The sequence below is a fragment of the Homo sapiens genome, chromosome 17, assembly GCF_000001405.40.
Source record: "Homo sapiens chromosome 17, GRCh38.p14 Primary Assembly".
Taxonomy (NCBI): Eukaryota; Metazoa; Chordata; class Mammalia; order Primates; family Hominidae; genus Homo; species Homo sapiens.
The window spans coordinates 18,951,342-18,979,002 of record NC_000017.11 but is presented as its reverse complement, the minus strand read 5'-3'; the positions used below and the strand labels follow the sequence as shown (position 1 = coordinate 18,979,002).

The window sequence follows — 27,661 nt, the reverse complement described above, 5'->3', positions numbered from 1 at the left end:
CCCACAGTATGCACCTGCTCTCTGCCCCCATTCACTTCTTGATCCCAGGGCCCTGTGGCCACAGTCTGAGGCCCAGCGGCTATGGGTGCACGGGGGCTGGGCGGAGGAAGCAGGGTCATGTGCCTGACCAGCGCCCCCTCCCTCTGTTGCAGCTTCACGTGGTCGGCCGCGCGGACGGACCGGAATGTGATCTCTGTGCTGTCTGGCCAGGTGGTGGAGATGTTTGACCGGCAGTTCCAGGAGCTGTACCTCATGTCACACAGTGTGAGCCTCAAGGGCATCCCTATGGAGAAGGAACCGGAGCCGGAGCCTATTGTGCTGCCCTCTGTGGTCCCCCTGGTGCCCGCGGGCACTGTGGCCAAGAAGCTCGTCAACCCCAAGTACGCACTTGTCAAGGCCAAGAGCGTCGACGAGATTGCCAAGATCTCCTCTGAGAAGCAGGAGGCCAAGAAGCCCCTGGGGCTGAAAGGCCCAGCGCTGGCTGAGCATCCAGGGGAACTCCCCGAGCTGCTGCCACCCATCCACCCAGGACTGCTTCACCTGGAGAGGGCCAACATGTTTGAGTACCTGCCCACGTGGGTGGAGCCAGACCCGGAGCCTGGCAGCGACATCCTGGGCTACATCAATATCATCGACCCCAACATCTGGAACCCCCAGCCCAGCCAGATGAACCGCATCAAGATCCGTGACACCTCCCAGGCCAGCGCCCAGCACCAGCTGTGGAAGCAGAGCCAGGACAGCAGGCCCCGTCCAGAGCCTTGCCCTCCCCCAGAGCCCAGTGCCCCCCAGGACGGTGTCCCAGCTGAGAACGGCCTCCCCCAGGGGGACCCTGAGCCATTGCCCCCCGTGCCCAAGCCCCGGACAGTCCCTGTGGCAGATGTACTAGCCCGGGACAGCAGTGATATTGGCTGGGTCCTGGAGCTCCCCAAAGAGGAAGCTCCCCAGAATGGGACAGACCATAGGCTACCCAGGATGGCAGGCCCAGGCCACGCCCCACTCCAGCGGCAGCTATCTGTGACCCAGGATGACCCCGAGAGCCTCGGGGTGGGGCTCCCCAATGGGCTGGATGGGGTGGAAGAAGAAGATGATGACGACTACGTAACCCTCAGTGACCAGGACAGCCACTCAGGCAGCTCCGGCCGTGGCCCTGGCCCCCGACGGCCCTCAGTGGCTTCCTCTGTGTCAGAGGAGTACTTCGAGGTGAGAGAGCACTCAGTCCCTCTCCGGAGGCGCCACTCAGAGCAAGTGGCCAACGGGCCAACCCCACCACCGCGCCGGCAGCTGAGTGCCCCCCATATAACCCGAGGGACCTTTGTTGGACCCCAGGGTGGCTCCCCATGGGCCCAGAGTCGGGGAAGAGAAGAAGCAGATGCGTTGAAGAGGATGCAGGCCCAGCGCTCCACAGACAAGGAGGCACAGGTGGGTCAGGGTCCCTGCACACCAGGGGTCACGAGTCCCTCCCTGCCAGCCACCCAAGAGCTCGAGCTGTTGTCTTCTGGGCTACCATGTCCCTGACTCTGATGACTTCAATTCCCTTGTTACAGATGGGGAAACTTGATGAACAGGCAGGGGTGGGAACCGGCCAGGGCCATATGGAAGGCCATCATTAATGCTGGGGACTCTTGGTCCCAGCATCCTGAAAAGGCAACCTAAGAAAATGCACGTTTCCCCACCTAGAGGTCTCCAAAGCCTGTGGTTAGAGGATCTTGATGGCACCTGCCAGATGGGTGGCACAGTCCCTAGTTTGCAGATGAGGAAAAGGCGGGGCACAGGGACGTTCATTTACAGCCTTGAGGTCACACAGCAGTAAGTGATACCTGTCCAGACCTTGTGCCAAGCCACATCCATGTTAATCCCTTTGATTGTGGCCCTGAGGACCACTCTCCCCACTCCCCAGGTTGGGGAACAGTTCACATCTATCCTTTGCCTCTTCTTCTGGTGACGTTTGCAGGACAAGGTCCCAGAACCCTGGGTGCCCTGCAGCCTGGGTTCAGTGCCCGGAGCCCGTCCTACCTGGGAACAATGCGCGGCTGATCATGCCCGGCATGATGATCAGGCCCATGGGGAGCATCTTGAGGTAGCTGGCCAGGATGGAGCCCGCCTTGGCATGGTTCAGGTCCCGGGCTGACAGTGATCGCTGCACGATGACCTGGGGGTGGAGTGCGAGACGGGGTGAGTCCAAGCCTGAGGGACACTTGTGTCAGGATTGGTCCTTGGTGGGCCTCAGGGAATGGGCATGAGGCACGATGATGTCCCATTAGCCTCTGACCTGCCCAAAACAGCCACACTCAAAGCCCCAATACTGTCAGGGTCCCACCAGGAGAGCTCACTTCAGCAGGCCAAGCAGCGAGAGCCGAGGTACACTCATTCCCAGGGACTCAGTCCCCTGACCTGTCAATAGGGGAGGTGTGGATCCTGCCCAGCCCACCACCCCTGGCAATTGTCAGGGCTGGAGGAGACCCTGGGTGGGGTGGTATGGGGACATACACCCCTACCCTCATCTCCTGGACCCTCATGACAGCAGCTGGCACATTTATAGTGCCAGGAGCAGACACTGGCGCCAACTGTGTTTGCATGGCTGGCAGAGTTCAGGTGCTTTAAGACCTGGGGTTTTGAAAGCTTGCAGTTCAGTAGCAGAGGGAGGCTAGAAGCTATCTGAGGACACCGGCCCTTCTGGGAGCCTTCAGCAAATCCTAACCAGGCCTTTCCAGATTTGCAGAATGGGAGGAGGGAGCGGTAATTTGGACCCATAATGTCTGAGATCTCTCCCAGCACTGATATTACGATTCTACTTCAAAAGAGTTACTTTTTTTTTGAGTCGGAGTCTTGCTCTGTCGCCCAGGCTGGAGTGCAGTGGTGCGATCTCGGCTCACTGCAAGCTCCGCCTCCGGGTTCACGCCATTCTCCTGCCTCAGCCTCCCAAGTAGCTGGGACAACAGGCGCCTGCCACCACGCCCGGCTAATTTTTTGTATTTTTAAAATAGAGACGAGGTTTCACCTTGTTAGCCAGGATGGTCTTGATCTCCTGACCTCGTGATCGCCCGCCTCGACCTCCCAAAGTGCTGGGATTACAAGCGTGAGCCACCGTGCCCAGCCCAAAAGAGTTACTTTTTAAACAGCTTTATTGAGATATTCACAGACCATATAATTCACCCAAAGTGTACACTGTTCCCATGGTTTTTAGTACGTTCACAAAGTTGTACGACCTATGACTCTGAAACGTAACTAGTTTTCCTTTGCGGTTCCACAGTTTAAGTCACCAGCTGCAACTCAGGAGCAGGAAGCCTCTATGATTTTTTTTTTCTTTGAGATGGAGTTTCACTCTTGTTGCCCAGGCTGGAGTGCAATGGCGCAATCTCGGGTCACCGCAACCTCTGCCTTCCAGGGTTCAAGGGATTCTCCTGCCTCAGCCTCCCAAGTAGCTGGGATTACAGGCATGAGCCACCACGCCCGGCTAATTTTTTTTTGTATTTTTAGTAGAGATGGGGTTTTACCATGTTGGTCAGGCTGGTCTTGAACTCCCGACTTCAGGTGATCTGCCCGCCTCGGCCTCCCAAAGTGCTGGGATTACAGGTGTGAGCCACCGCATCCGGCTGCCTCCGTGATTTTAACTTACTTTCCAAGCTTGCTAGTTTAACGGACGGCTCCCAGCATTTACCCCTAAGCTGTGGATGTCACGGAAACATTAATTACAGAGGCTAGGAATGCCTGCGGGCTGCAGCCTCCGAACGCAGGGCAAGCTGCTGTCCTTCCTGCTTCTCTGCCAGCTTGCTGTGACTTGGGAGAAGCCCTTGCCTCAGTTTGGGCCTCAGTTGCCCCATCTGGACAATGAGAGAGTTAGACGGTGGTTCTGTCTAGGTGCTTGGGAGAGAAGCATTTCCCTAAGACCCTGAATGTCTTTTTGCCATTGGTGGGATATTTGCCTCTATATTCCAATCTGTGCTCATGTCAGCTGGCCCTGGGACAGGTGCTGTCACCCCAAGTAGAGAAGCTGAGGCTCAGAGTTTCCATGAGCTGTGAGGCCTGCCAGTCCCCCTGAATAGGGCAGGGGCTTTCCCCACCCCTGACTGTCAGATAGCAAGGCTGGGCCCCCAACTCAGATGTCAGCAGGCCACTGCTCACCCCCACCTCCCAGCACTGGTGTCTAGTCCCAGCCAGGCGCTCTTCCCTGAGGAAGCCGGCACTCACTCCCTGAGTGGCCATTTCACCTTGGGCTCCTCATCTGCAAAATGAGGAGAGTTGTTGCAACGACTTAAGTGAGGCTGCTAGTGTAGCCGGCCAAGCCTGTCCCTGGCTCCTCAAGGGCCTCCGGTGAATGTGAGTTCTCTTTCTCAGGGAAGATGATGAGTGAGTTTTGGGGTGTGGCCATTGGAGTCAGCACGCTGCCCACGAAAGCTGTGGTTGCTGTTATGACTGAGGTGGCTGCTACTGACTAAGGGAGGGCACCCGGCCTGGAGCTGCGGCATCAGCAGGTGACAGAGCTGGCAGGACCCTGGGAGGCCTTCTGGTCTGTGCACTGCCCTGTTTCACAGACAGGGACACCAAGGCCCAGGGAGGGGCAGGGGCATAGCCCAGACGGGAGCCCAGACCAGGGCTCTGTCCACTGGACCCTTTGCCTCTTTGTTACTGGTTTTGTTTCTGGTTAGAAAAATGCCACCTACTTGTCATGGATGAGCCAGAAGATAGTGAACGGTCCATGCCTGTATCCCAGCACTTTGGGAGGCCAAGATGGGTGGATTACTTGAGGTCAGGAGTTCAAGACCAGCCTGGCCAACATGGTGAAACCCCATTTCTACTAAAAATACAAAAATTGGCTGGGCATGGTGGCTCATGCCTGTAATCCCAGCACTTTGGGAGGCCTAGGTGGGCGGATCACGAGGTCAGGAGTTCGAGACCAGCCTTGCCAACATGGTGAAACCCCGTCTCTATTAAAAATACAAAAATTAGCCGGGCATGATGGTACACGCTTGTAATCCCAACTACTTAGGAGGCTGAGGCAGGAGAATTGCTCAAACCCAGGAGGCGGAGGTTGCAGTGAGCTGAGATCACACCACTGCACTCCAGCCTGGGTGACAGAACAAGACTATGTCTCTGGGAAAAAAAAAAAAAAAAAAAAAACTTAAAAAAAAATACAAAAATTAGCCGAGTGTGGTGGCACATGCCTGTAGTCCCAGCTACCTGGGTGGCTGAGACAGGAGAATCACTTGAACCCAGGAGGCGGAGGTTGCAGTGAGCCGAGATGGTGCCACTGCACTCCAGCCTGAGCAACAGAGCAAGACTCCATCTTAAAAAAAAGCAAAACACCCCTATGGTCTCAACACACAGAACTGCTACCTCCCTTCTGACTAGACTGTGGCTATCTTTGAGGGCTACCCTGGCCACAGAGCAAAGTGGAGTCAGACCTCTAGGTGCCCCTAAAAGTCCCCAGTGTCAGTGAGAGCCACACAGAGACCAGGAACCTCAAGTAGGACTAGTGCCTGGGTTTCTGGACCGAGGCCCCGCATCCACCAGGCAGACCCAGCCCAAGGGGTAGAGGATGGGGAGGTAGGGCAGAGGCCAGGCTACAGCTCCAATGCTGGTTGGTGTCCTGAACCACCTGGGGTCAGCAGTGTTCCTCCTCCACCTCCCTGTGTGATCCTCTCTGGGCCTCGGGCTCCTTATCTGTGCAGTGGGGCCTGCCCAACCCTGACCCCAAGGCCAGGACATGTGCAGATTCGTTTGGCCTTGATGGGAAAATCTCCTGACTGATGTTCCACCCAGAGAAGACCGTGCCATGCCAAGCCCATGCTGCATTGGGAGGAGGTGGGAGGTGGCGGGTGTAAAGGGGCTCAGCCTGGCAGGGTACCACTTGCCTACTGTGCCCTCCACGGCCAACCTTTCACCAGCCCCTTGCCCACTGGGGCTGGCCCTCAGCCCTCCCAGGAGAACTGGGCAGACGCCTGCTGTGAGCCCACATGTTCCCTGGAAAGCCCTCCCATGAGGCATGGCGGATGTGGGCAGCTTGTGAGCACAGCATGCCGGAGCATGAGGGGCCCTGCTTGAGGACCACGTGTTACAGATGGGGAAACTGAGGCCCAGCCTTCCAGAGCTTCTGATAGCTCCTAGTTGGGGTCTGTTCTTTTTTTTTTTTTTTTTAGACGGAGTCTCGCTCTGTCCCCCAGGCTGGAGTGCAGTGGCACAATCTCGGCTCACTGCTCACTGTCAACTCCACCTCCTGGGCTCACGCCATTCTCCTGCCTCAGCCTCCCGAGTAGCTGGGACTACAGGCGCCTGCCACCGTGCCCAGCTAATTTTTTGTATTTTTAGTAGAGACGGGGTTTCACTGTGTTAGCCAGGATGGTCTCGATCTCCTGACCTCGTGATCCGCCCATGTCAGCCTCCCAAAGTGCTGGGATTACAGGCTTGAGCCACCGCCCCCGGCCAGGTCCGTTCTTACTGTTGGAACCCAGGGAGGGTCTCTGGGCAGATACTGATGGAGCCCGTGCTGCTTGGGAGAGGAAGAGCAGAGTCGGGAACCACGGAAAAGTCACTCCACTCTGGGTTCGGATCCAGCTCTGTCTCTGGCCTCAGTGCTCTGGCCTATGAATGGAGCTGGTCGGGCCTACTCCCAGGGTAGGCCACGTGGGAAAGGCTTGTGTGAGCGCTGTGATCGTTCATTCCACAGAGGCTGGCTGTGGCTGCCTTGTCCTATGGTGGACCCCTGGGGCTGGGTCCAGAGGCATGGACAATTGTGGGGCCTGTGCCCACTGCTTCACAGGCCTTTTCCCACCCCCATGCTCCCTGGAGCTGCCCACGGCCTTTGGGACAAGCAAAGCAAGGGCACCATCTGCTTCTGCCCAGAGACAGGAAGCAGCTCATCTGAGGTCACCTGGAGGGCTGGTGACAGGGTCTTGAGGGCAGGGCCAGAGTCACCCCCTGCACTCAACAGAAACTCCTGCATTGCCTCCAACAACCCCATTCAGCCCATTTCCAACCACGTCCCAGGCCTGTGTCGGAATAGAGGAGGCTGCGGGGGTGAGCTGGGAGGAAGCTGCCTTGCTACACCCACAAAGGGCAGGATTATTCCCATATTACAGACAGGGGAACTGAGGCATCGAGTGACTAAACCAACTGGTCTAGGCCCACTCCCTGGTGAATGGCAGAGCCAGGAGGCGAACCCGGGCCTGCCGGCTCCTGTGTGCCTGAGCAGGGTCCTGTGCTGGGGCGGGGTTGGCCCTTCTTGCTCAGCCTCACTCTCTGCTCTCTCTCTCCCAGGGCCAGCAGTTTCATCATCACAGGGTCCCTGCCTCAGGGACTAGGGATAAAGACGGCTTCCCAGGACCCCCTAGGTACCGCTCTGCTGCTGACAGCGTCCAGAGCTCTACCAGAAACGCTGGCCCAGCCATGGCTGGCCCCCACCACTGGCAGGCCAAGGGAGGTCAGGTACCCCGCCTGCTTCCGGATCCCGGCAGCCCAAGACTGGCCCAAAATGCCCGCCCCATGACCGATGGCAGGGCCACCGAGGAGCATCCGAGTCCCTTCGGAATCCCATACTCCAAACTGTCTCAGTCGAAGCACCTAAAGGCCAGGACGGGCGGTAGCCAGTGGGCCTCATCGGATTCTAAACGGAGGGCTCAAGCCCCCCGGGACCGCAAAGACCCCTAGCAGCATGTCCCAGCCTGGAGCCACACCTTCTGAGGCCCCAGCCCAGACTCATGACGCGGAGGGCAGACAGGCCGCCTGGGCCTACCAGAGCCCACTGGGACGGCAGGAAGGTGGGATGGGCGGGAGACGTTGGCACTCACCTGGTCGGTGCACCAGTACCAGGTGGCCATGATGGTCAGGCCAAAGGTCATCCCGGTCCACGGCAGGTCCCCTGTGTGGGGGTCTCGAAACATGTGCATGGCGTCTGTACGTGGCAGGTGGCAGGTGGTGTTGGCAATGGTCCTGGAGGGAATGGCCTGGGCGTAGGCTGCCTCCAGCTGCCCGTAACCACCGATCTGGTCAAAAGCTGGAGGGGTCAGGGTGGAACAGGGACAGTTTGGTGGTTGCGGGGCCCTGACTCCCTGGGCTCCCCCCTGCCTTCATCTCACAAGAAACTTCCTGATGCATCAAACTTGAGTTTTTTCCACCTCATCTTTCCCAGTGTTTGGAAAGGTGTGAGGGTAGAGGGTTGTTTTTTTTTTTAAGGTGTATTTGAATGACTATTTTATTCGTATTTAAAATAATACTATTAAGTAAGCATTTTGCACATGGGCACCCCAGTGTCCCGCTGGCCCAGCAGGAGTCACTGTTGGCCTCTGGACACTCATCGGCCTTGGGCAAGTGGTTCTCAGCCAGGTTTCCGATTGTCGATTCAAGGAAGCAAAAGTAATTTTTCTTGACATTTGAGGACCTTCCTGAGGCTTCTAAAGTGTTCATCCTGATCACCTGAAGGGTGTGATTTTAGCAGAGCTGAGAGTGGCTGGTGGTGATGTGGCCCCACCCCCTGAGGCACAGAGAAGAGGGAGACAGGTCCAGAGAGGGATGGGGCCTCCACCAAGACCATATAGACCATCTGGCGGGCTCAAGCCGGGGCTTTTTCCTCTCCAGTCCAAAACACCTCACTGTTCCTGTCTACCTCGGGGTCAGGGCCCGGCATGGCCAAGCCCTGGCCCATCTGTGTCTGTGTCACTCCCCTCCCTTCCAGACTGGGCCTGGCTGCTGGGATCCCTCTCATGCGGTGGGTCCCAGGGACACTAGAGCCCCTGGTCTGAGAGGGAGAAGCCTGGATGTAGGAAAACCCGTTTCCACCCCAGGCCCTACTCCCTAGCCTTTTCCAAGTGGGACATGGAAGAGGCAGCCTGCTGCCTGGATGCTGGTCTCCCCAGCATCACTGTTCCCATGGAGCTCAGGTCAGGCTCTGTATTCAGACCGAGGGTTTGTGTGAGGCTCAGAGCAAATGAACAAGTGCCATTCAAGGGTTAGAAACTGCTCAGCCACAGGGTCCCAGTGTCTGAGTCTGGAAGAGTCTTTAGAGATTTGTTCACTCTCTGAGGGATCCTCCTGGCTCTGCTTACATACTTCCAGGGACGGTGAGCTCACGCTCTCTCCGGGCAGCCCTGTGAGTTTCCTATCTGTTCCAGACTAGTATCGCCAATCTCTCCCAGCTCTCTTCTTTCCTCCCTGGCCTTTGTCCTGCAGGAGGTAGCATCACCTCTTGGCATTTTGTACATGCTTTTAAACAATTGGAGGAGCTGCCCAGGCAGTTTTATGGCCTCCTGGTTGTGTGCCTTCACACCCGCCTACAGCCCCACCTCACCATCAAGCGCTGAGCCAATGCGGGTGTGGCTGGCCCTGAGTTCCTGAGTCAGCTCCTTGCCAGGGCCAGAGCTGGTAACAGCGGGGCAGCAGGGTGGGTAGCCTCTACCAGCCAGGGCAGTCCCTGAGGGGCCAGCAGGGGGGCTGACTGCCTAGTGGCTCAACCTCCTGAACCCACCCACTCCCAGCGATGCTACCCAGAACCCCAACGGCATGAATCCTGCACAGTGCCGGGCAGTGCCAGACTCCAAAGGGCTCGCTGTGGGGACAGCCCCGCCATGGCCACAGACTCTGTCCTCACCTTTGATTGTCAGGATGACAGCCCCCACCACCATGATGAGCGTCTGCAGGGCGTCCGTGTAGATTACAGCAGCCAGGCCCCCTGCCAGTGGAAGCAAGGTTGCTGGAGGGGGCCCTGGCCCCAGGGAGGAGGGACACGGGGAGGAACTTCTGGGGCTCCTGCTGGGGCCACTTCCTGGGCTGCTCCCTCGGGCCTGTAGGGGGAGGTGGCCTTCTGACCCCTTTACACGTCCCCTGGGTGGACCTCCCTGCTGCAGGCACCATACCTGCGATGGTGTACAGGGCTGTGATGCCGAGCGTGAGGATGGTGGAGAGGTAGAAGTTCCAGCCCAGGCAGATGTGCACAAACAGAGCCCCCGCGTACAGGTCCAGCTGCGGAGGGAGAGAGCCTTGTGTGGGACTGTTATTCCCAGGGCTCCAGCAAGCCACTCCCTGGGTGACCTCGGGCAAGGCCCTCTCTGGGCCTCGGTGGCCTGTGGATAAGGAGGGGAGACCCCCACTCGCCTGCCTGCCTGCATCACGGGGCCATTGTGAGGTTGGGGGAAGACCTGGCCGTGGAGCTACAAGCTTGTGCGGATGTCAGGGGACATTACTGTTGCTAATAAAGTCCAAAGTGGCCAATGCCTTTCCCAAAAGCAGTGTTGTTATTGAATCTGGCCCCTTCCCGAGGGGATAAAAGGCAGAGCCCTGTCCCCTCGGTTCCCAGGGGCACCTTGATGAGTTTGTGAGGAGTCTGTGAAGACCAGTAGGCCTCAGGAAAAGTGTGTGCTGGGCGGACCAGTAGGCCTCAGGAAAAGTGTGTGCTGGGCGGACCAGGAAACAGAGGGGCAGCCTTGCTTCCTGCCCCCACCCCCCAGTGGGTTTGGAACTGAAGCCAATAGTGGCTCAGAGGCTGGGTCTCAGGCTGAAGCTGGTCTCCACACTGACTGGACACAGCCCCTGCCCTCCCAGAACCTGTGGCTGCTCCTCCTAAAGGCAGGAGCGCTAGCCTGGAGGCCAACCTCTGCCTGGCATGGGCCTCAAAGACCAGAATCCCACCCTCCACCTGGCAGTAGGGGCCCAGTGAGAGGAAGGGCAGGACCCTGTTCTCTGGGACATGGGCTAGTAACAGGCTTCACCTTGCCCCACCCCTGAGTTCCTAAACCTACCATTCTGCTTTGACTCAGGAGATGCGAGATGACCCAACACACAGCCTCAGGGGCCAGGAGCTTCCTGAGAAGGCTGGGGCCCTGTGCTTCCTAGTGTGGGGACACATCTGCACGAGGCCCAGGAAGTGCAGGCCCCAGGCCCCTTTGAGCTCCCCCAGGCAGGGATCCCTGCCTCCTGGGGTCTGACACAGGGCCCAGGCAGGATGGGATCTGGCTCCAAAGCCTGTGCTTCCTGTACCTCTCCCTCCAGGCGCCTCTCTCAACCTGTCTTAGAGAGACCAGCCAGTTTGGAAACTAGCCAGGGGCTTTCAGGAGAACCCCGGCTCTGGTCCTTATCTTTGGCTGTGTGTGTGTGTGTATAGGAAGGGCAGGTAGTTCAGGGGAAGGTGTGGTGGGGGGTGGGGGCGGGATCTGCCTCCAGCCCAAGTAGAGAAGCGCAGAGGTGCTGAATATCAGAGCAGGATGGACTCTTCAAGTCCTGCCCCATCAGACTAGAGGATAAACTGAGGCCCCAGGAAGGGAAAGGACTTCCCCAAAGTCAGCCCCTGGTAGGTATCAGAGATTGGAGTTACCAGGAGAGGGAAGGCCGAGAGGGAGCAGGAGGCTTCTAGAAGGCCCACCACAGGCAGCCTGCAAGCTTCTGTCCTACAGTCACTGCTCCAGACTCCTGCTGGACCCTGGCTGTCTCTGGACAGAACCTGGGTCTGTGTGCCCGGTCTTTGGCTCTGGCCACGCCAGACACATGGCCCTTCATCCCATGCCCAGCACTTAGCTGCCTCTGAGTCTTTGCTCACCGGCTCACCAGATTCCCTCTGCCCTGGAACATCCCAGCCTCTGCTTCTCATGTTTCAAAACACAGCCGTGCCAGCCCCTCTGCTCCTCGAGTACATTGTTCATTCGCCCTCCCTCCTGCCTCCCTCCTTCCTGCCCTTCCTTCCACGGTGGCAGGCCCCAAAGACTGAATAGAAGTCCCGCAGGTGCAGGAACGGCAGGAGCAAGGGTGTGGGGTGGGCCTTTCACTGCTGTCTCCCCTATAGACTGGACACTACATGGCATCCAGTGAACGTTTGCTGCTGTTGCTAGAGGCCCAGTAGGTGTGCGGTTGCCTGCAACTCCCGAGCAGCCCCCGGGTGAGGAATTCAGACATCACTTAGCCCTATCCGACCCTTCCTGCAGCCCGAGCACTCCTCTGTGGGCCGGGGCAGCTTCAGCCTGACAGATGCCAAGAGCCACACAGCCCTGGCTCTGTGCCCCTGGTCTGCCATGTCCCAGCCACATGGCTTTGAGCAGGCCACTTCATCCCCTGAACCTCAGTGCCCCTGATCTGTGCCATGGGGAAGTGGGTGTGGAGCACACAAAGCCAGCCACCCAGCCCCTCCACCCTGCCGGCACCCTGCAGCCCCTCTACCCCCTCACCCTGGCACGGGATGCTCCGTGGGACTGTCTGAGATAGCCAGCTCTCCTCTGTGCCTCCCTCCCCAGTGACCCAGGAGCAACCGCAGAGTGTTGTTTTTTTTTTTTTTTTTGAGACGGAGTCTTGCTCTGTCACCCAGGCTGGAGTGCAGTGGTGCGATCTCGGCTCACTGCAACTTCCACCTCCCGGGTTCAAGTGATTCTCCTGCCTCAGCCTCCTGAGTAGCTGGGATTACAGGTGTGTGCCATCAAGCCCGGCTAATTTTGTACATGGTTTCACCATGTTGGCCAGGCTGGTCTCAAACTCCTGACCTCAGGTGATCCACCCACCTCGGCCTCCCAAAGTGTTGGGATTACAGGCGTGAGCCACCGCACCCGGCCCAGAGTCTATTCCAACTCCTAGAAGGCACAGATGGGGAGGTCAAGGCCCAAATTGCAGAGGAACTTGCCCATGGAGGCAAAACTCTGGGAACAAAATCAACAAGACTGCACCAGGGAACAGCATCCCCGAGGAAGGGCCACTCCCAGGGCACAGGCTGAACCAGGACCTCACTCCAGGCTGCCACCCATGGGGCCGGAGCAACTGGTCCACCCCCAGCTCAGCAGCCTGATCCAGGCTGCTGTCCAGAGGTGCCTGCCTGCTCCTGTGATGTGGCCCCACATTCACCCTGCACAAACTGTCCTTTCCACTACCCTGCTCCTTCCTCCCCATGCAGGACCCCCACGATTCCTCCCTTCATCTTGTACCCAGAAACCCTGCCAGTGCTTCACGGCCCTGGTTGTCCTCCAGGACTCCCTGCTGACTTGCCACTTTTGACAGGTGACAAATGTGCGTGTGTGCCACACGGCGCCCTGATGTCTTTCAGGTCTCCCCCAGTGCTGCTCATAGCATCCTACCAGGTGGGTGTGGTAATCCACTCCACTCCACAGTGGGGGGCACCTGGGCATGGAGAAGTGAAATGACTTTGTCAAAGTCCCACCGTCCTAAGAGGTGGGCCCCAAGGACGTGCCCTTCCTGCTGGCTGACCCTGGGGCCTGTGAGGTCCTGGGGAGGAAACTCATGGCAGGGGACCTCCCAGAGAGCACACACTGTTGGCAGCAAGCCACTCCTCTCCTGGCACCATGTAGCCACCACTGGGGGCTTGCAAGGGCGGGAGCCCAGTACACAGGGAGGGAGCAAGGCTGAGAGAGGACGTGTGGGCCCTGTGGTGCAGCGTGGGACTGATCTGGCGGGCTCTGCACAGCTTAGACCCCCAAGCTCCCCACGTATATGAAGGAGCCTCACTCCATCTCCCAGCCGATGGAAACCATTCACTCCAGGGCGTGTCTGAGGCTGAAGGAGGCTGGGAACCGGCCCTGGTACTCTGGCTGCCCGGCCTGGGCCCTTGCCCTGCCCGCTCTCAGCCACCTTCCCACATGGAACTTATATCTCCCATCCTTCGTGGGACAGCAGAGAAGCTGGGTGGGCTCTGCACTGACACTAGGAGTTGACTGTGATTTCTCCCAAATCTTTTTGGTGTCCTCTGCCCCTGAGCCTTGCCCATTTCCATGGAGGCCATCACCGTCCTCCGGGGCTCCCCTTTGCCACACTCCCCGCCTCTGACCCACCGGCCACTGCTATGGATTCCGTCTCCAAAACACACACCCACTCCCCAAAACCTCTGCTGCCCCCACCCTGGGCCCGATCCCCTTGCAAGCCCCTCACTGGTCCCTCCTGCATTTGGCTTGTGCAAGGAAGATCTGGGGCTCTGCATTTCCTCTTTTTTTTTTTTTTTAAAAAAACCTCTGCCTCCTGGGTTCAAGCGATTTTCCTGCCTCAGCCTTCCGAGTAGCTGGGATTACAGGTGTGTGTCACCACGCCTGGCTAATTTTTTGTATTTTTAGTAGAAACAGGGTTTAACCATGTTGGCCAGGCTGGTCTCGAACTCCTGACCTCAGGTGATCCACCCGCCTCGGCCTCCCAAATTGCTGGGATTACAGGTGTGAGCCACTGCACCCGGTCAGGTTCTGCATTTCTACCATTCCAGGAATAAGGTGCACCCCCGCCCGGCAGAGGCCCTGCCCAGAGGCTCTGCGTGGTCCCCACTGCCTCTCCGCTCTTGGTCATTGCTGCCCCTCCATATCCCTAGACACCCCCAGCCCCATGAGCTTCCCACTCCTGGACTTGCCAAGCTCTTGCCCTGTGGCTGCAAGGCTGGCATTTCCACCCCAGACTGCCCTGTCTCCAGTGAGCCCACTCCCTGCTCCTGTCTCCCCATTTCTGTCCCCCCTTCACCGTGTTTGCTTCTTTTGTCACACTTTTACCATTTCTTATGATTTCCTTGGTCTGTTTCCTTACCCCCTGTCTAGAAAGCATCTATGGGTGTGGGGGGCTCACCCAGGGCCTGGCACACAGTAGGTGCACAGTAAGTAGGTGATTTCCATAGGGCAGGGAGTGGCAGCCCAGAACCCACAGGCCAGGCCCAGTCATGCCTTATGGTATTGTCTGCAGGCACTTTCGGGCCCCAGGGGCAGAGTTGAGGAGTGAGGACAGAGACTGGGTGGCCTGTGAAGCTGAAAATATTTACTCTCAGGCCTTTCGCAGAAAAAACGAGCTGACCCCTGGCATAGATTCTCTCACCTAGACCCACGAGGCATGTGGGCAGCCCTGGGGATGCGGCCAGTGAGCAAGGGAACCAACGGAGCACACAGCCAGCAGGCGTTCCGAGTCCATGGGGGTAGAGAGAGGAAGGGGGCTGGCCTGCGGGGATGGGGGTGAAGATGGAGAGAGTGGAAAGGCTTGAGGGACATGAGGGAGCCACGTGGATATCCAGGCAGAAGGTTCCAGGCAGAGGCCACAGCAAATGCAAAGGCCCTGAGGCAGGACCATGCCTGGTGTGTTCATGGAAGCGCAGAGGCCAGTGTGGCTGGAGCGGGTGGGGGCAACAGGGCGAGGGAGGGGTGAGGTCAGTGAGGGCGCAAAGCGACCCCCGTGGAGGACCTTTACTGCAAGTGGCATGGGGCATCGTGCCCAGTTCCAGAGGTTAAATGACTGGCTAGAGCCCCACAATGATGGAGCTGGGCTTGGGCCCATTCGTCTGAGGGTCAGGGTGGTGATTCTCCAGGCCCTGCCATCGCCGGTCCTCCTGTGGGCCAGTGCCCCTGCCTGAGGGATGGCAGCAGGCACCCTAAGATCTCTGTCCACACGGGCAGTGGCTGGGACGGGTGCTGGATGCGCAGACATGTGAGGCATTCCCGGGGCACAGCCCAGTGAGGTCAGGGCCTCTGGGGACCGCCTGGGCGCGTGCACTTCAAACAGCCAGGGTAGCCCCAGTCCTCTCGCAGCCAAGCCCAGCAATTAGCATTCCTCAAGCTTCGCCCTCTGCTTCATCCAGGCAGCCCCAGCGTTGGTTCTGAAGCCCAGCCTTGATGTGAGTGGGTGCTCCCTGTTTTATAGTTGGGTAAACTGAATCACCCCCATCACAAAGTGGAGTTTGAAAGGCCACGTCCTGGCTGCTTCAGGGCAGCAGGGCTGAGGTTGGGCCTCTTGTGGTGGGAGGCACAGACCTGGGTTCTAACAGTAGTCCCTGCCTGACTCGCTGTGACCTGGACCTCAGTGTGTCATCTGTAAACTCGGAGAGCTGGACAAGATTGTTTCTAAGGTCCTCCCACTTCACTGAACTCTTCCCTCTGCCTTTTGTTCTTTTTATTTTTGGAGAGTCAGCTCACTGTAACCTCCATCTCCCCAGTTCAAGTAATTCTCCTGCCTCAGCCTCCTGAGTAGCTACAGGCGCATGCCACCACATTTGGCTAATTTTTTTGTATTTTAGTAGAGATGGAGTTTCACCGTGTTGCCTAGGCTGGTTTTGAACTCCTGAGCTCAGGCAATCCGCCTGCCTCAGCCTCCCAAATTGCTAGGATTATAGGCGTGAGCCACCACGCCGGCCCCCTCTGCCTTTCTAGAAGTTCCGCCCAAGCCATCCACTTTCAGGACTCTCCGAGTGTGAGGTATAAGCTCTACTGCAGAGAAGCCAGCAGGGTGAAACAGGGGGCAGAGAACCCTGTGCCCATGGCTCAGTCTCCCTCCCTCACCAGACCTACCTGGGGCCTCCTCACAAGCCTGGCCTCCTCTTGTCTCTCTCACCTCCAGTCCACCCTCTGGAAGATTCCAGAGAGCACAAAGTACAAACACGACCATGTCACTCTCCCACTTAAACACCACCCCGGCTCCTAAACACCACCCCCGCTCCACCTGGGCACCTTGGGCACTTCAACCTCTTACAATCAGACCTCCCTTGCCTCATCTCTCACTGCAGGCCAGACCCTGAAAACTGGCAGCCGAGAGGCAAATGTGGCACACGGGCCTGTTGTGTGTCAATCCTGGGGCACGTTCTCTGGTTTGCCTTTGTCCCCACCACTGCCTATTACTCACTCCCAGCTTCTCTCCACGCTGTTCTTTATCTGGCCCCAGAAGTGTCTGACTTAGTGACTCCTAGAGTCTAAGCCTCCAGCCCCGACCACCCCCAGACACATCCTGCCTCTTCCCACCTCTCTCTTTGTCATTTGCTCCCATCCCCCATCAGTATCCCTGTCTCCATCAGAGCCCAACTCAAATGCCACCCCCAGCAAGCCCCGCTGTGTCCTCTTCTGAGTTTCATGCCTGTCCCATGCATCCATCTATTTCTCACCACAGTGCGAGCCCCTGGCAGACCAGGGCCAGGTCTTGTTTATTTCTGTATCCCTGGTTTCCAGGGAGGTGGCTGGCATGGGGGTGGCTGGCATGGGGGTGGGGTGGAGATCAAGAAATGTGGGAGAGGAAGGAAGAGTATGAGTGGAAAGCTCTAAACTCAGCCTTAAGGGCAGGCCAAGGCCAAGTCCCTCCGGACTCTAAAGGGCTCCCAGAGAAAGCAAACCTCCTACAGTACGCCAAGGGCATCTGGCGAAGACTGCGGTACGGGGTTTGCTGCTGGCCACTCCTGAGACCTGCCCACACGAAGGATGAGACACTCTGGGAATCCCCTCAGAGTCACCTAGCAACACCAGTGCAGATAGAGGCCAGGCTGAGGCTGCCGAGGGGATGCCCCAGGAGAGGAGAGGGCGGGTCAGATGCTGCATGAGACCCCCACCGGGGCCCCGTGGGGGCTCTGGATGGACCCTTTAGGGCCCTCTTCCCAGGTAGCCCTGCCCACAGCTCCTGGCTGACCAGCGAGGCCTCTACCTCTCCGGCCTCTGCACCTCCATTCCCTTCACTAAATCGACGCCTCTTCTGGGCTTTCCTAGTCCCAGGACTGAATGAAGAGGGCCCAGGAGGCCATTTGCCTCTGAGGGAAAGCTGGGCCTCACAGAGCACTTCCCGCAGACACAGCAGCCCTCACACGGTGGTCCTGCCCATTGCTACCACCAACTCACAGGAGCCCTAGGAGACAAGGTCTGCCGCCCCTCCTTACAAGGGAGGAGCCCCAGGCACAGGGAGGCTCGGAGGTCGCAGGGGCTAGTGTCAGCTCTCTCAGCCAGAATCAGGCAGCCCCAGGACTCAAGCCCCTTCAGAAGCCTGGGGCTGGATGAAGCTAGCTGCCCCCAGGGACTTGGAGTGAGAGCAGAAGGCCTAGTGTTGCCATGAGGTCACCGGGAGGGTTAGGACAAGCTCTTTCCCTTCTCTGGGCCTTAGTTTCCCTCTCTGTAAAGTCAGGGGCTTGGACAAGATGAGCTCTATGCTTCTCCTGACCCTGACATTCGAGGTGTGCTCCTGCTCTTAATATGCCCGTGGGGGCAGGGCCAGGCCCCCAAGGATGGGTGTCAGTGATGGAGCCCACCAGCCTTGGGGTGAGAGGCAGGTCAGCTCAGTGCAGACCAGATGTGGCTAAGACCACGTGGGCTTTTGGCGCCCCCTAGTGGGAGATCGTGGCTCACCCCGGTGCCGGCCCCAGAACTGACCTCAGACCGAGAACCGTCCTAACACCCTGTGTCTAGAACCTGAGGCAAAGCAGAGGTCACCAGGTTGTGTTCTGTCCCTGACTAGGGCTGGCTGCTGAGCCTACACCCCGGGGGCCCTGGACTACCTGTCCAGACTCGCTGCGTGACCCTGGGCAAGTCATTGCCCCTCTCTGGGCCTCAATTTGCCCAGCTGTTAAACAAGGCAGAGATGAATGAGAAGATGTCAGGTCCTCTTGAGGGGCCCACAGATTGGCGATGTTTCCAGGCTATGCCAGCAGGGAGCCGGGGGCAGCTCACCGATATCTTGGTGAAGACAGACAGTAGCAGGGACAGGACAGACAGGTACATGCGGATCCGCTGGCCCCCGTAGCGCTTCTGAATGTACTCAGGTAAGGTGACGATCTGGGAAGGCACATGGGTAGGGGCTAAGCATCCTCCAGATGATGCCCAGGGCTCCAGGCAGGGCCTGTCTCAATCACTCTGCCTCTCCCCCCGCCACAAAGCAGCTGCGAGCCTCTCAAGGGCAAGGCCCAGGCACTGACCCCTTACAGCCCCAGCACCCGGCCTGGAATCCCGGGCTGCTCCGGCTGCGCCCCGAGGGTGTCAGGCAGGGGAGTGGCAGGCTGAGATCCCTAGACTGGCTCTTTAGGGCTGAGACGAGGAATGGATTGGAGGGGCCGTGGCTGGGACAGAGGGACAAGTTTAGAGGCTGTTATGACAAATCCAGGTGCACTATGATGAGGCTGGATGAGGGAGGTGGCTGTGAGGGGCAGAGCTGGGGACAGGCTGAGAGACATCCAGGAAGTGGAGTTGACTGGACTTAGTGGCTGCATGGCTGGGGCTGAAGGAGTGGGCAGAGTCGACGATGGTGCAGCCAATTGTGCGGCCCAGGTGTGCCATTCAGGTACGCAGCCCAGGGGTACAGCCCAGGTATGCTACCCAGGTGTGTGGGCCAGGTGTGCAAACCAGGTGCATGGCCCAGTTGTACAGCCTATGTGCCCAGCTGGATGGGACATTATTCCTGAGATGCAGCACTCAGGGCAGTGGAAACCAGCCAACACGGCACCCAGGCTGAGGTCTGAGGGGATCCACCTTAGCAGGTTGATAGAAATATTAGTCGGGATCCACCTTAGCAGGTTGATAGAAATATTAGTCGGGCTAATAGCAAACCCAGCCCTAAGAGTTTACCAACTCCTGATGTGAGGCCACGGTGGTCCTGCCCATTACTACCACCAACTTGGACCAAGGCCCAGCCCCCCAGCTGGAGGCCCCATGAGTAGACTCACCTCTGAGGAGATGTAGATGGGCACGAACACCCATGCCAGTGCCAGCAGCACGTACGTGGCCTATGGGGACAGAGACAGGTGAGGACTGCAGGTGCAGCTCCCACAGCTCTGCTCCAGAGACAAAGCAGACATGGCTGGGATGAGCCATCCGGAGGCCTGGCTTCCCCCAGCCCCTCCTGACTTGCCATGAGATCCTGGGTGGCTCCTTCCCCTCTCTAGGTCTGGGCAAGGCCCACAGCTCCCTGCCAGTCGTGCCATCCAGCACCTTGGTATTCTGAAGACACGATTTGGCCCAGGAACAGCACTGCACAGAGCCCACCTGGACATCGGCTGACACCAGCCACTGGGAGCTGTCCCCCTCCAGTGCTGCGACCACATCCTGTGCCCTGGCCCTCCCACAGGCCGCCAGTCCTCCAGGACTCACATTCCACTCGAAGCCTGCCACGGCCAGACCTCCTGCCGCGCCTGAGCCCGCCAGTCCAATGAAGAGGCCAGAGCCCTCGCTGCTGGCGAAGAGGGAGGCTCCAATCTGGAGGAGAGAAAGGGAAACGCATCAGCAGCAGGCTCCCTGCGCCGGCCCCATCCTGGGCCTAATAGCTTCTCCCTCATCCTCACAAACCTAAGCGGGGTCCTAGCCCCACCTCACGGATGAGGAGCCCAGGGTGTGTGTTCTACCCATGACTAGCTGCACAGCTAAGGAGCGGATGTAAGTTTCAGACTCCATAGCCCCTGCCCCTTACACAATTTCTAGCAGCTCAGCCCTATGCCCCTCACTTGGGGACCTCCTGCCAGCCTCCGGCCTGCTCCACTGAATTGGACTGGCTCAAAGATACAGATGCCAGGTGACCTAGAGATCAGACACAGCCCCACGGACAAAGTGGGGGTGTGTGAGAAGTCAGGGTGCACTCACCGGCCACCACGTCATGTCCCGGCCTGCCAGGAAGTAGCCATTCACCGTGTTCCTACTGGCCCGACAAGAGGACTGCAAGAGGAGAAAAGGGACAGGAGTTGGAAGCCCGCACACTGCTGCTGGGAAGTCGAATGGGAAACGGCTTGGCAGCTCCTCAAAAGGTTACGCATAGAATCACCATATGACCCAGAAGTTCCACTCCTAGGTATATGTCCAAAAGAATTGAAAACACACATCCACTCAGAAACTTGTACACGAATGTTCATAGCAGCATTATTCATAATAGCCAAAAGTGAAAACAACCCACATTTCTGTCGACTGATGAGTAAATAAACAAAATGTGGTATATCCTATATAAAGAAATATTATTCAGTCTTCAAAAGGAATGAAGTTCTATTGGGTGCAGTAGCTCATGCCTGTAATCCCAGCACATTGGGAGGCGGAGGTAAGCGGATCACTTGAGCCTAGCAGTTTGAGACCAGACTGGCAACATAGTGAGACCCCAGGTCTACAAAAAATGCAGGGTTTGGTGGCACACACCTGTGGCCCCCGCTACTTAGGACACTGAGGTGGGAGCATCTCTTGAGCCCAGGAGGTGGATGCTGCAGTGAGCGGTGATTGTGCCACTGCACTGCAGCCTGGGCAACAGAGTGAAATCCTGTCTGGAAAAAAACAACAAATATCTTGGGAATGAAGCTCTGATGCATGCCCAACTTGGATGGACCTTGACAACATGATGCTTCATGAACACAGACAGACACAAAAGGCCACGAATTGTATGATTCCATTTATATGAAAAGTCCAGAACAGGCAAATTTATAGAGACAGAAAGCAGATGAGTTGTTGCCAGGGGCTGGGAGGCAGGAAGAACGGTGCTTGACTTTGATGGGGACAGGATGAAAATGTTTTGGAGCTAGCTACAGGTAATGGTTGCGCAGCATTGCAAATGTACTAAATGCCATGAATTGCACACTTTAAAATGGTTAAAATGGGCTGGCGCGGTGGCTCACGCCTGTAATCCCAGCACTTTGGGAGGCCGAGGTGGGTGGATCACGAGGTCAAGAGAACGAGTCCATCCTGGCCAACATGGTGAAACCCTGTCTCTACTAAAAATACAAAAATTAGCTGGGCGTGGTGGCAGGCGCCTGTAGTCCCAGCTACTCGGGAGGCTGAGGCAGAATTGCTTGAACCCGGGAGGTGGAGGTTGCAGTGAGCCGAGATCGTGCCACTGCACTCCAGCCTGGTGACAGAGCAAGGCTCCGTCTCAAAATAAATAAATAAAATAAAATAAAATAAAATGGTTAAAATGATGAATTGTATATTATGTAAATTTTATCTCAACTTTTATAAAAAGAACAGAAGCAGTCAGCTCCTTACCTACGTATTCCCACATGCCTTTGGTTTACGGGGAGTATAGAATTTTGTCCTCCATGTAAGTGGAATAAAAATTCTGGAGTCGGAACGTCTGAGAGTAAAATCCTGTCTTCCCTGCTTCCTGGCCGTGTTACCTGGGGCAAGTTACTGAACGCGTATGCCTTGGTTTCTTCCTCTGTAATGTGGTCCTAAGAAGTTCTTCCTTCATGAATTTTGTTTTGTTTTGTTTTTTGAGACAGAATCTCACTCCGTCACCCTGGCTGGAATGCAGTGACAGATCTTGGCTCACGGCAACCTTCACCTCCCGGGTTCGAGCGGTTCTCCTGCCTCAGCCTCCCGAGTAGCTGGGATTACAGGTGCGCACCACCACACCTGGCTAATTTTTTGTGTTTTTAGTAGGAGGGGGTTTCACTATGTTGGCCAGGCTGGTCTCAAATTCCTGACCTCATGTGATCTGCCTGCCTTGGCTTCCTAACCCTCACAGGGTTTTTATGAGCTTTAGTGGGTTAGTACACGTAGCATGCTGAGATAAGGGTCAGTGAGTACATGGATTTTTCAAGCCTGTCTTTAGTGCTATTTGGATGGGAGAAATTTAAGTTAAATCATCCAGGCGTGGTGGCTCATGCCTGTAATCCCAACACTTTGGGAGGCCAAGGAAGGAGGGTTACTCAAGCCAGGGATTCAAGACCAGCCTGGGCAACATAGTGGAACTCTGTCTCTATAAAAAGTTTTAAAATTAGCTGGGCGTGGTGGTGCATGCTTGTAATCCCAGCTACTCTAGAGTCTGAGGTGGGAGGATCACTTGAGACCAGGAAGTCAAGGCTGCAGTGAGCCAAGATGGCGCCACTGCCCTCCAGCCTGGGCTGCAGAGCAAGACTCTGTCTCAAAACAGAAAAAAAAAAAAAAAAAAAAAACAGAAAGAAAAAAGAAAAAACAGAAGAATTTGAAAAGAGGGACACAGGACAGGTATTTAGATACAAATTTTGTATTTCTTTTCAGAACATACATAAGGCTGGATCACAAAATATATCCATCAATATGCAGGTCTCTTTCTTCCTGACTTTAATTGCCCTGCCCTATACTCAGGATGATTAGGCTTCATTGTATGTACTCACCATTCAAAGCTTTATCTATTTGTTATTTATTTATTTATTTATTTATTTATTTATTTATTTATTTATTTTTGAGACAGAGTTTCGCTCTTGTTGCCCAGGATGGAGTGCAATGGCACGATCTTGGCTCACCGCAACCTCTGCCTCCCGGGTTCAAGCGATTCTCCTGCCTCAGCCTCCCTAGTAGCTGGGATTACAGGCATGTGCCACCATGCCCGGCTAATTTTGTATTTTTAGTAGAGATGGGGTTCCTCCATGTTGGTCAGGCTGGTCTTGGACTCCCGACCTCAGGTGATCTGCCCACCTCGGCCTCCCAAAGTGCTGGGATTACAGGCATGAGCCACCGCGCCCGGCCTATTTATTTTTATTTTTAAGACAGGGTCTCATTATGTTGCCCAGGCAGGTCTTGAACTCCTGGGCTCACGTGATCTCCCCATCTCAGCTTCCTGAGTAGCAGGAACCACGTGGACACCACCACACCCAGTTCAGAACTTTTGATGTGGCTCCTGCCTCTCTCCAGCTCCAACTCCCACCACTTTCTCTTTGTGTGCCGTGATCTTGCTGTACTAAAGGCAGCATAGTCTGAAGGCTCACAGTCTTGGCCAGGATGGCCATATCCAGATGTGTACGCTGTGCACTGCACAACTCCAAAGCATCTATGTTTACAGCCCATGCTTTTTCCTAACCCTTCTCATCTTTCAAGCCTATAGTGGGCATTGCCAGTTGCCTTCTTATATCTGGGGCTCTGGGGGCTGCTGGCAGTTGCTGGGGGCCACATGTACCCATTTAAGGTTCCCCGAAGGCCCCCATGCCAGAGTTGGCTTCAACTTCTTGATCTGTGTGGAGTTCTTAGTCCTCGCAACAGCTCTATGAAGCAGGTGCCATGTTACCAATGAGGAAACTGATGGTCTCAGAGATGAAAACACACCCATCTAGCAAGTGGTGCAGCCTGGATTTCAACTCAGGCTCAATCGCAGGGCTGGTCATTTCACATCAGGACACGAGGGGAGCTGGGCTTAGGACAGAGCTACACATGGATGGAGGCTGAGAGAACCAAAGTGAGGTGTAGCTGTATCCTTAATAATGCTGTGAATCCCTGGATCATACTGCACCTGAAGCCCTTTCTATTGCTGGACACAATTACATTTCCTGAATTCTTTTTTTTTTTTTTTTTTTTTTTTTGATACAGTGTTTCACTCTTTTGCCCATGCTGGAGTGCAGTGGCGTGATCTCAGCTCATTGCGACCTCCGCCTTCCGGTTTCAAGCAATTCTCCTGCCTCAGCCTCCTGAGTAGCTGGGATTACAGGCGCCTGGCACCACGCCTGGCTAATTTTTGTATTATCACAAAATAATACAAAAGTAGAGACGGGCTTTCACCATGCTGGCCAGGCTGGTCTCAAACTCCTGACCTCGTGATCCACCCGCCTAGGCCTCCCAAAGTGCTGGGATTACAGGCATGAGCCACTGCGCCCGGCCTACATTTCCTATATTCTTAGAGCTCATTTGAAAGCAGTTTTCAGTCACTTGTTAACAGATACTTTAATGAATGCAAAGGCTCAGCTCAAAGTCCCCTCCTCCAGGAACATCTCTTCCTTAAAGGCCTCCCCCCGGCCCCCGCCAGACTCTCCCAGGCCCACCATCTAAACATCTTTGCAGGGCTGCACCTGCCTGGCTTGCTCTGTCTGCTTCTCCCTGTGGGATGCATCTCCAGCATCCTCCCTGTCTGGTTCTGATCTTTTCTGGATGTGCTCACTGCTCTCTTGCCAGCCGCTCCCAGCTGGGCCAGCCTAGCCTGCTAGGAGGGACAGGGCAGAACTCCTACAGCCCTACTTCCAGGGGCACCAGCCTGCAAACAGCAAGCTGACTCACTAGGAGAGGTGGGTCATGGGCAACAAGGGCTGGTGGCCCAAGTCACTGGGCTACAAAGGGTCTGGCCTCAGGTGCCCAGAACATCTTTCTTAGACGTGCTAGCCAGGACAGCCTTGTCTCCCCTCCTCTTTCCCTCTTCAGATCTTGCCTGGCCCTTACCTCCCCTCATCCAGAAACCCTCCACTGTCTGTTCTGCCCCACGTGGGCACCTCCTCCTCTGAATTCTAGCCACCAACTGTCACAGGAATATAGCACGTTACAGTTTGCAACAGATTTTCACTTCCATTGGACCCTTGCTCCTTGGAACAGCCCTGAGATGTGGGCTGCACAGAAACCCGCATTGCGTGTTTGAGGAAACTGAAGCCCACAGAGATTAAGTGACTTAAGTACACAGAGCAGAGCCGAGACTTGAACTCGGCTTTGCCGATGGCCAGCACTGGGCTACTTGTGAGTTAATATTTAATCACATACAGGTTGAGGAGCCGTTATCCGAAATATTTGAAACCAGAAAAGTTTTGGATTTCGGACTCTTTCAGATTTGGAGATACTTACAGAATACCTGCCAGTTGAACATCCCCAACCCAAAACTCTAAAATCTGAGATGCTCCAATGAGCATTTGCTTTGAGCATCATGTTGGTGTTCAAAATGTTCCAGATTTTGGGTTTCAGATTTTTGAAATCCAACCTGTGATAATTAATTTTAATGACTGCGGCTGCTACTCTTATAATCACCACTGCTACAACTGCCACCACCACCACCACTGCTACCACTGTAGAACCAATGGCAGCAGCAAGGTCTGGTCCTGTGTGGGCCCCTTGATAGCAGACCTCACCCCAGGTAGGTGGTGTCTCCATATAACAGATCAGAACACTGAGGCCCAGGAAGCTGAGGGGACGTGACCAGTCTCCTGTTTGCCAGGCCTTCGTGCTTAGGCCAGGGGTTATGGAAGATAAGAACGGGTACTCGGCCGGGCGCGGTGGCTCACGCCTGTAATTCTAGCACTTTGGGAGGCCGAGGCGGGCAAATCATGAGGTCAGGAGTTCGAGACTAGCCTGGCCAACACGGTAAAACTCTGTCTCTACTAAAAATACAAAACATTACCTGGGTGTGGTAGTGGACGCCTGTAATCCCAGCTACTCAGGAGGCTGAGGCAGAATTGTTTGAACCCAGGAGGTGGAGGTTGCAGTGAGCCGAGATAGTGCCACTGCACTCCAGCCCAGGTGACAGTGCTAGACTCCGTCTCAGTTAAAAAAAAAAAAAAAAAAAAAGAAGGGGTACTCATTCTCCCCAGGAGACTGTCAGGGCTCAGGGATGCCAGGCTGGGGACCTCTGGGGCTTAAGAAGTGGAGCCCAACATCCCCAGGCGCTAAGCGTGGAGCAGGTGACCTGAACCAGGCTGTGTCCACCTTCCCTCAGGAAGGCCTCCACGATAGACCAGAGGAGCCCTTCCCTTGCTGCAGGGCCAGAGCCTCGGTTTCTCCATCTGCACATGAAACAGCCTGTCCCCAGGGGCCCCGCTGCCCCTGGAATCTGTGTGTGGGGTCAGATCTCTGCTCATTTCTCACTGTTATGAAGGGAGAAAGAACCGGCTTATGATCTAGGGCTAGGCCACAGGACATAAATCCCCAGGGAGCTTGTTCAAAATAAAGACCCCCAGTTCCCAGGGCCCTCCCTGCCTCCGGATTCTGATCCAGCAGCTCTGGGGTGCAGCCAGGGAATCCCGGGGAGCCTGTTGTTCAAGCAGACAGGAGTCACTGACACCATGGAGACTGGGACCAGGAGGCTGATGGGCCACACCCAAGGACTCCAGCTGGGCAGCAGCACAAAAGCCCAGTTACCTGTTAGAGAGAATTTCCTCCTCCTCACTTTGCAGATGGAGACGCCATTACCCAAAGAGAGAAACGGGCTTGGTCAAGGTCTCCAAGCAAGTCTACCCCAGGCTGGGAGGAGGACCACAAGGATCACTAGGCCACCAGCTGGGACCAATGCTGACACCACAGGGACATGCTGGACCCCGGTTCCCACCCCAAGCACCAACCCTGAGAGCCCACTTGGCCAACACCACCACAGGTCCCCTTACCCATATGCCCACGGCCACATTCAGAGCAAAATACACAGTGATGACGATGATGTCAGCCACGCTCAGCTGCGTCCCGGGAGTGTGGAGGTCGCTGGTGGAGTTGGCGGCCATGGCTGTCCTGCCGCAGGCACTAGGTATGAGCCCGAGGGACTGAGGGGCAAACCAGGTCAGAAAGGGTTTCCTGGCAGGGAGCTCATTGATCATTAAACCAAGCGGACAGTGGCATCTCCAGCCCATGATGTGGCTGCATGCAGGGCAGCTGCCTCACCATGCAGTTCAGCTTCCTCACCCCATGGTGGGGTGCAGATCCCAGAGCGCAGGAGTCAGGGAGCCTGGGAGAAGCAAGTGGGAGGAGGAAAGGAAGGAGCCTCCTTGAACTCGGAGGGGGCTTGGGGAAAATGAACCGCATTTAGTGGACCCGGAGGCAGCCCAAATAGTCCCAGAAAGGCTGGGTTGCTTAATGGGTGGCTTCACCTATATCTAATTTGTATAAGAAGCATAGAGCGTAGGGACAACCGCCTCACCTCTGAAGATACTGCCGTGGCGGGCAGCCATGTCCTCCCTTGGCCATCGGGCTGTGAGTGGACTGAGCAGGGCTTGGGAGGGGGACACCTGCATTATGGCTCACGTCCAGCCAACACAGCCCAGGCTCAGAGGCAGCCCCATGTCGGACAATAAAGTCCTGCTTCCAGCGTTTCTGCTTTCTTTTTCTAGACCCGTGAAACAGTCCCAGGCCCCTCAACTTGACCATGCATTCGGCCCCCACCCCGGGCAATGTCTGCCTGGGACCACAGAGGGACCCAATATCTGTCACACACCAAGGACCATGCGTGGCTGTTCTGCACATGATCCCATTTCACGGACCATGCGTGGCTGTTCCGCACATGATCCCATTTCACGCTCACAGCAGCCACGCAGAGTAGGCAATGTCTCATCCTAGTCAAGGAAATGGCCATCCGCCATTACGCAGCCATT

General features: G+C 56.4%; 2 protein-coding genes across 8 annotated transcripts in view, besides 7 other annotated features; one reads left to right on the top strand and one right to left on the bottom strand.

Moving 5' to 3' along the window:
• FAM83G (family with sequence similarity 83 member G) overlaps positions 1-10,214 on the top strand; it is a 37,328-nt gene extending 27,114 nt beyond the window's left edge. For both annotated transcript variants that reach the window (XM_017024953.3, NM_001039999.3), the window contains exons 5-6: positions 153-1,419; positions 7,255-10,214. In XM_017024953.3, coding sequence (XP_016880442.1) covers positions 153-1,419; positions 7,255-7,644 — 1,657 coding nt within the window. In that variant the 3' untranslated portion in view covers positions 7,645-10,214. The remainder of the gene's footprint in view (positions 1-152; positions 1,420-7,254) is intronic.
• The window catches only part of SLC5A10 (solute carrier family 5 member 10), a 71,890-nt gene that overhangs the window by 43,563 nt on the left and 666 nt on the right, over positions 1-27,661 (bottom strand). For 4 of the 6 annotated variants that reach the window (XM_017024191.3, NM_152351.6, NM_001042450.4 and 1 more), the window contains exons 1-9: positions 26,687-26,838; positions 20,250-20,321; positions 19,764-19,868; positions 19,340-19,399; positions 18,351-18,455; positions 9,846-9,951; positions 9,581-9,661; positions 7,785-7,990; positions 2,014-2,149 (exon numbers count right to left, since the gene is read on the bottom strand). In XM_017024191.3, coding sequence (XP_016879680.2) covers positions 2,014-2,149; positions 7,785-7,990; positions 9,581-9,661; positions 9,846-9,951; positions 18,351-18,455; positions 19,340-19,399; positions 19,764-19,868; positions 20,250-20,321; positions 26,687-26,797 — 982 coding nt within the window. In that variant the 5' untranslated portion in view covers positions 26,798-26,838. Of the gene's footprint in view, positions 1-2,013; positions 2,150-7,784; positions 7,991-9,580; positions 9,662-9,845; positions 9,952-18,350; positions 18,456-19,339; positions 19,400-19,763; positions 19,869-20,249; positions 20,322-26,686; positions 26,839-27,661 lie in introns of those variants that run through there. The other 2 variants (NM_001270648.3, NM_001282417.1) reach the window with 2 other exon arrangements.
• Positions 7,298-8,239: an enhancer, noted in NCBI's record as "H3K4me1 hESC enhancer chr17:18874077-18875018 (GRCh37/hg19 assembly coordinates)". NCBI's record gives its function as "activates a minimal SCP1, AML or CMV promoter by ChIP-STARR-seq in naive H9 embryonic stem cells {active_cell/tissue: H9 hESC(naive)}" and the evidence as "EXISTENCE:reporter gene assay evidence [ECO:0000049][PMID:30033119]".
• Positions 10,126-11,069: an enhancer, noted in NCBI's record as "H3K27ac-H3K4me1 hESC enhancer chr17:18871247-18872190 (GRCh37/hg19 assembly coordinates)". NCBI's record gives its function as "activates a minimal SCP1, AML or CMV promoter by ChIP-STARR-seq in primed H9 embryonic stem cells {active_cell/tissue: H9 hESC(primed)}" and the evidence as "EXISTENCE:reporter gene assay evidence [ECO:0000049][PMID:30033119]".
• Positions 14,809-15,342: an enhancer, noted in NCBI's record as "H3K4me1 hESC enhancer chr17:18866974-18867507 (GRCh37/hg19 assembly coordinates)". NCBI's record gives its function as "activates a minimal SCP1, AML or CMV promoter by ChIP-STARR-seq in naive H9 embryonic stem cells {active_cell/tissue: H9 hESC(naive)}" and the evidence as "EXISTENCE:reporter gene assay evidence [ECO:0000049][PMID:30033119]".
• Positions 15,343-15,877: an enhancer, noted in NCBI's record as "H3K4me1 hESC enhancer chr17:18866439-18866973 (GRCh37/hg19 assembly coordinates)". NCBI's record gives its function as "activates a minimal SCP1, AML or CMV promoter by ChIP-STARR-seq in naive H9 embryonic stem cells {active_cell/tissue: H9 hESC(naive)}" and the evidence as "EXISTENCE:reporter gene assay evidence [ECO:0000049][PMID:30033119]".
• Positions 16,926-17,923: an enhancer, noted in NCBI's record as "H3K4me1 hESC enhancer chr17:18864393-18865390 (GRCh37/hg19 assembly coordinates)". NCBI's record gives its function as "activates a minimal SCP1, AML or CMV promoter by ChIP-STARR-seq in naive H9 embryonic stem cells {active_cell/tissue: H9 hESC(naive)}" and the evidence as "EXISTENCE:reporter gene assay evidence [ECO:0000049][PMID:30033119]".
• Positions 16,990-17,209: an enhancer, noted in NCBI's record as "active region_11847". NCBI's record gives its function as "activates an Ori minimal core promoter by ATAC-STARR-seq in GM12878 lymphoblastoid cells {active_cell/tissue: GM12878}" and the evidence as "EXISTENCE:reporter gene assay evidence [ECO:0000049][PMID:35858748]".
• Positions 17,923-18,082: a silencer, noted in NCBI's record as "silent region_8281". NCBI's record gives its function as "represses an Ori minimal core promoter by ATAC-STARR-seq in GM12878 lymphoblastoid cells {active_cell/tissue: GM12878}" and the evidence as "EXISTENCE:reporter gene assay evidence [ECO:0000049][PMID:35858748]".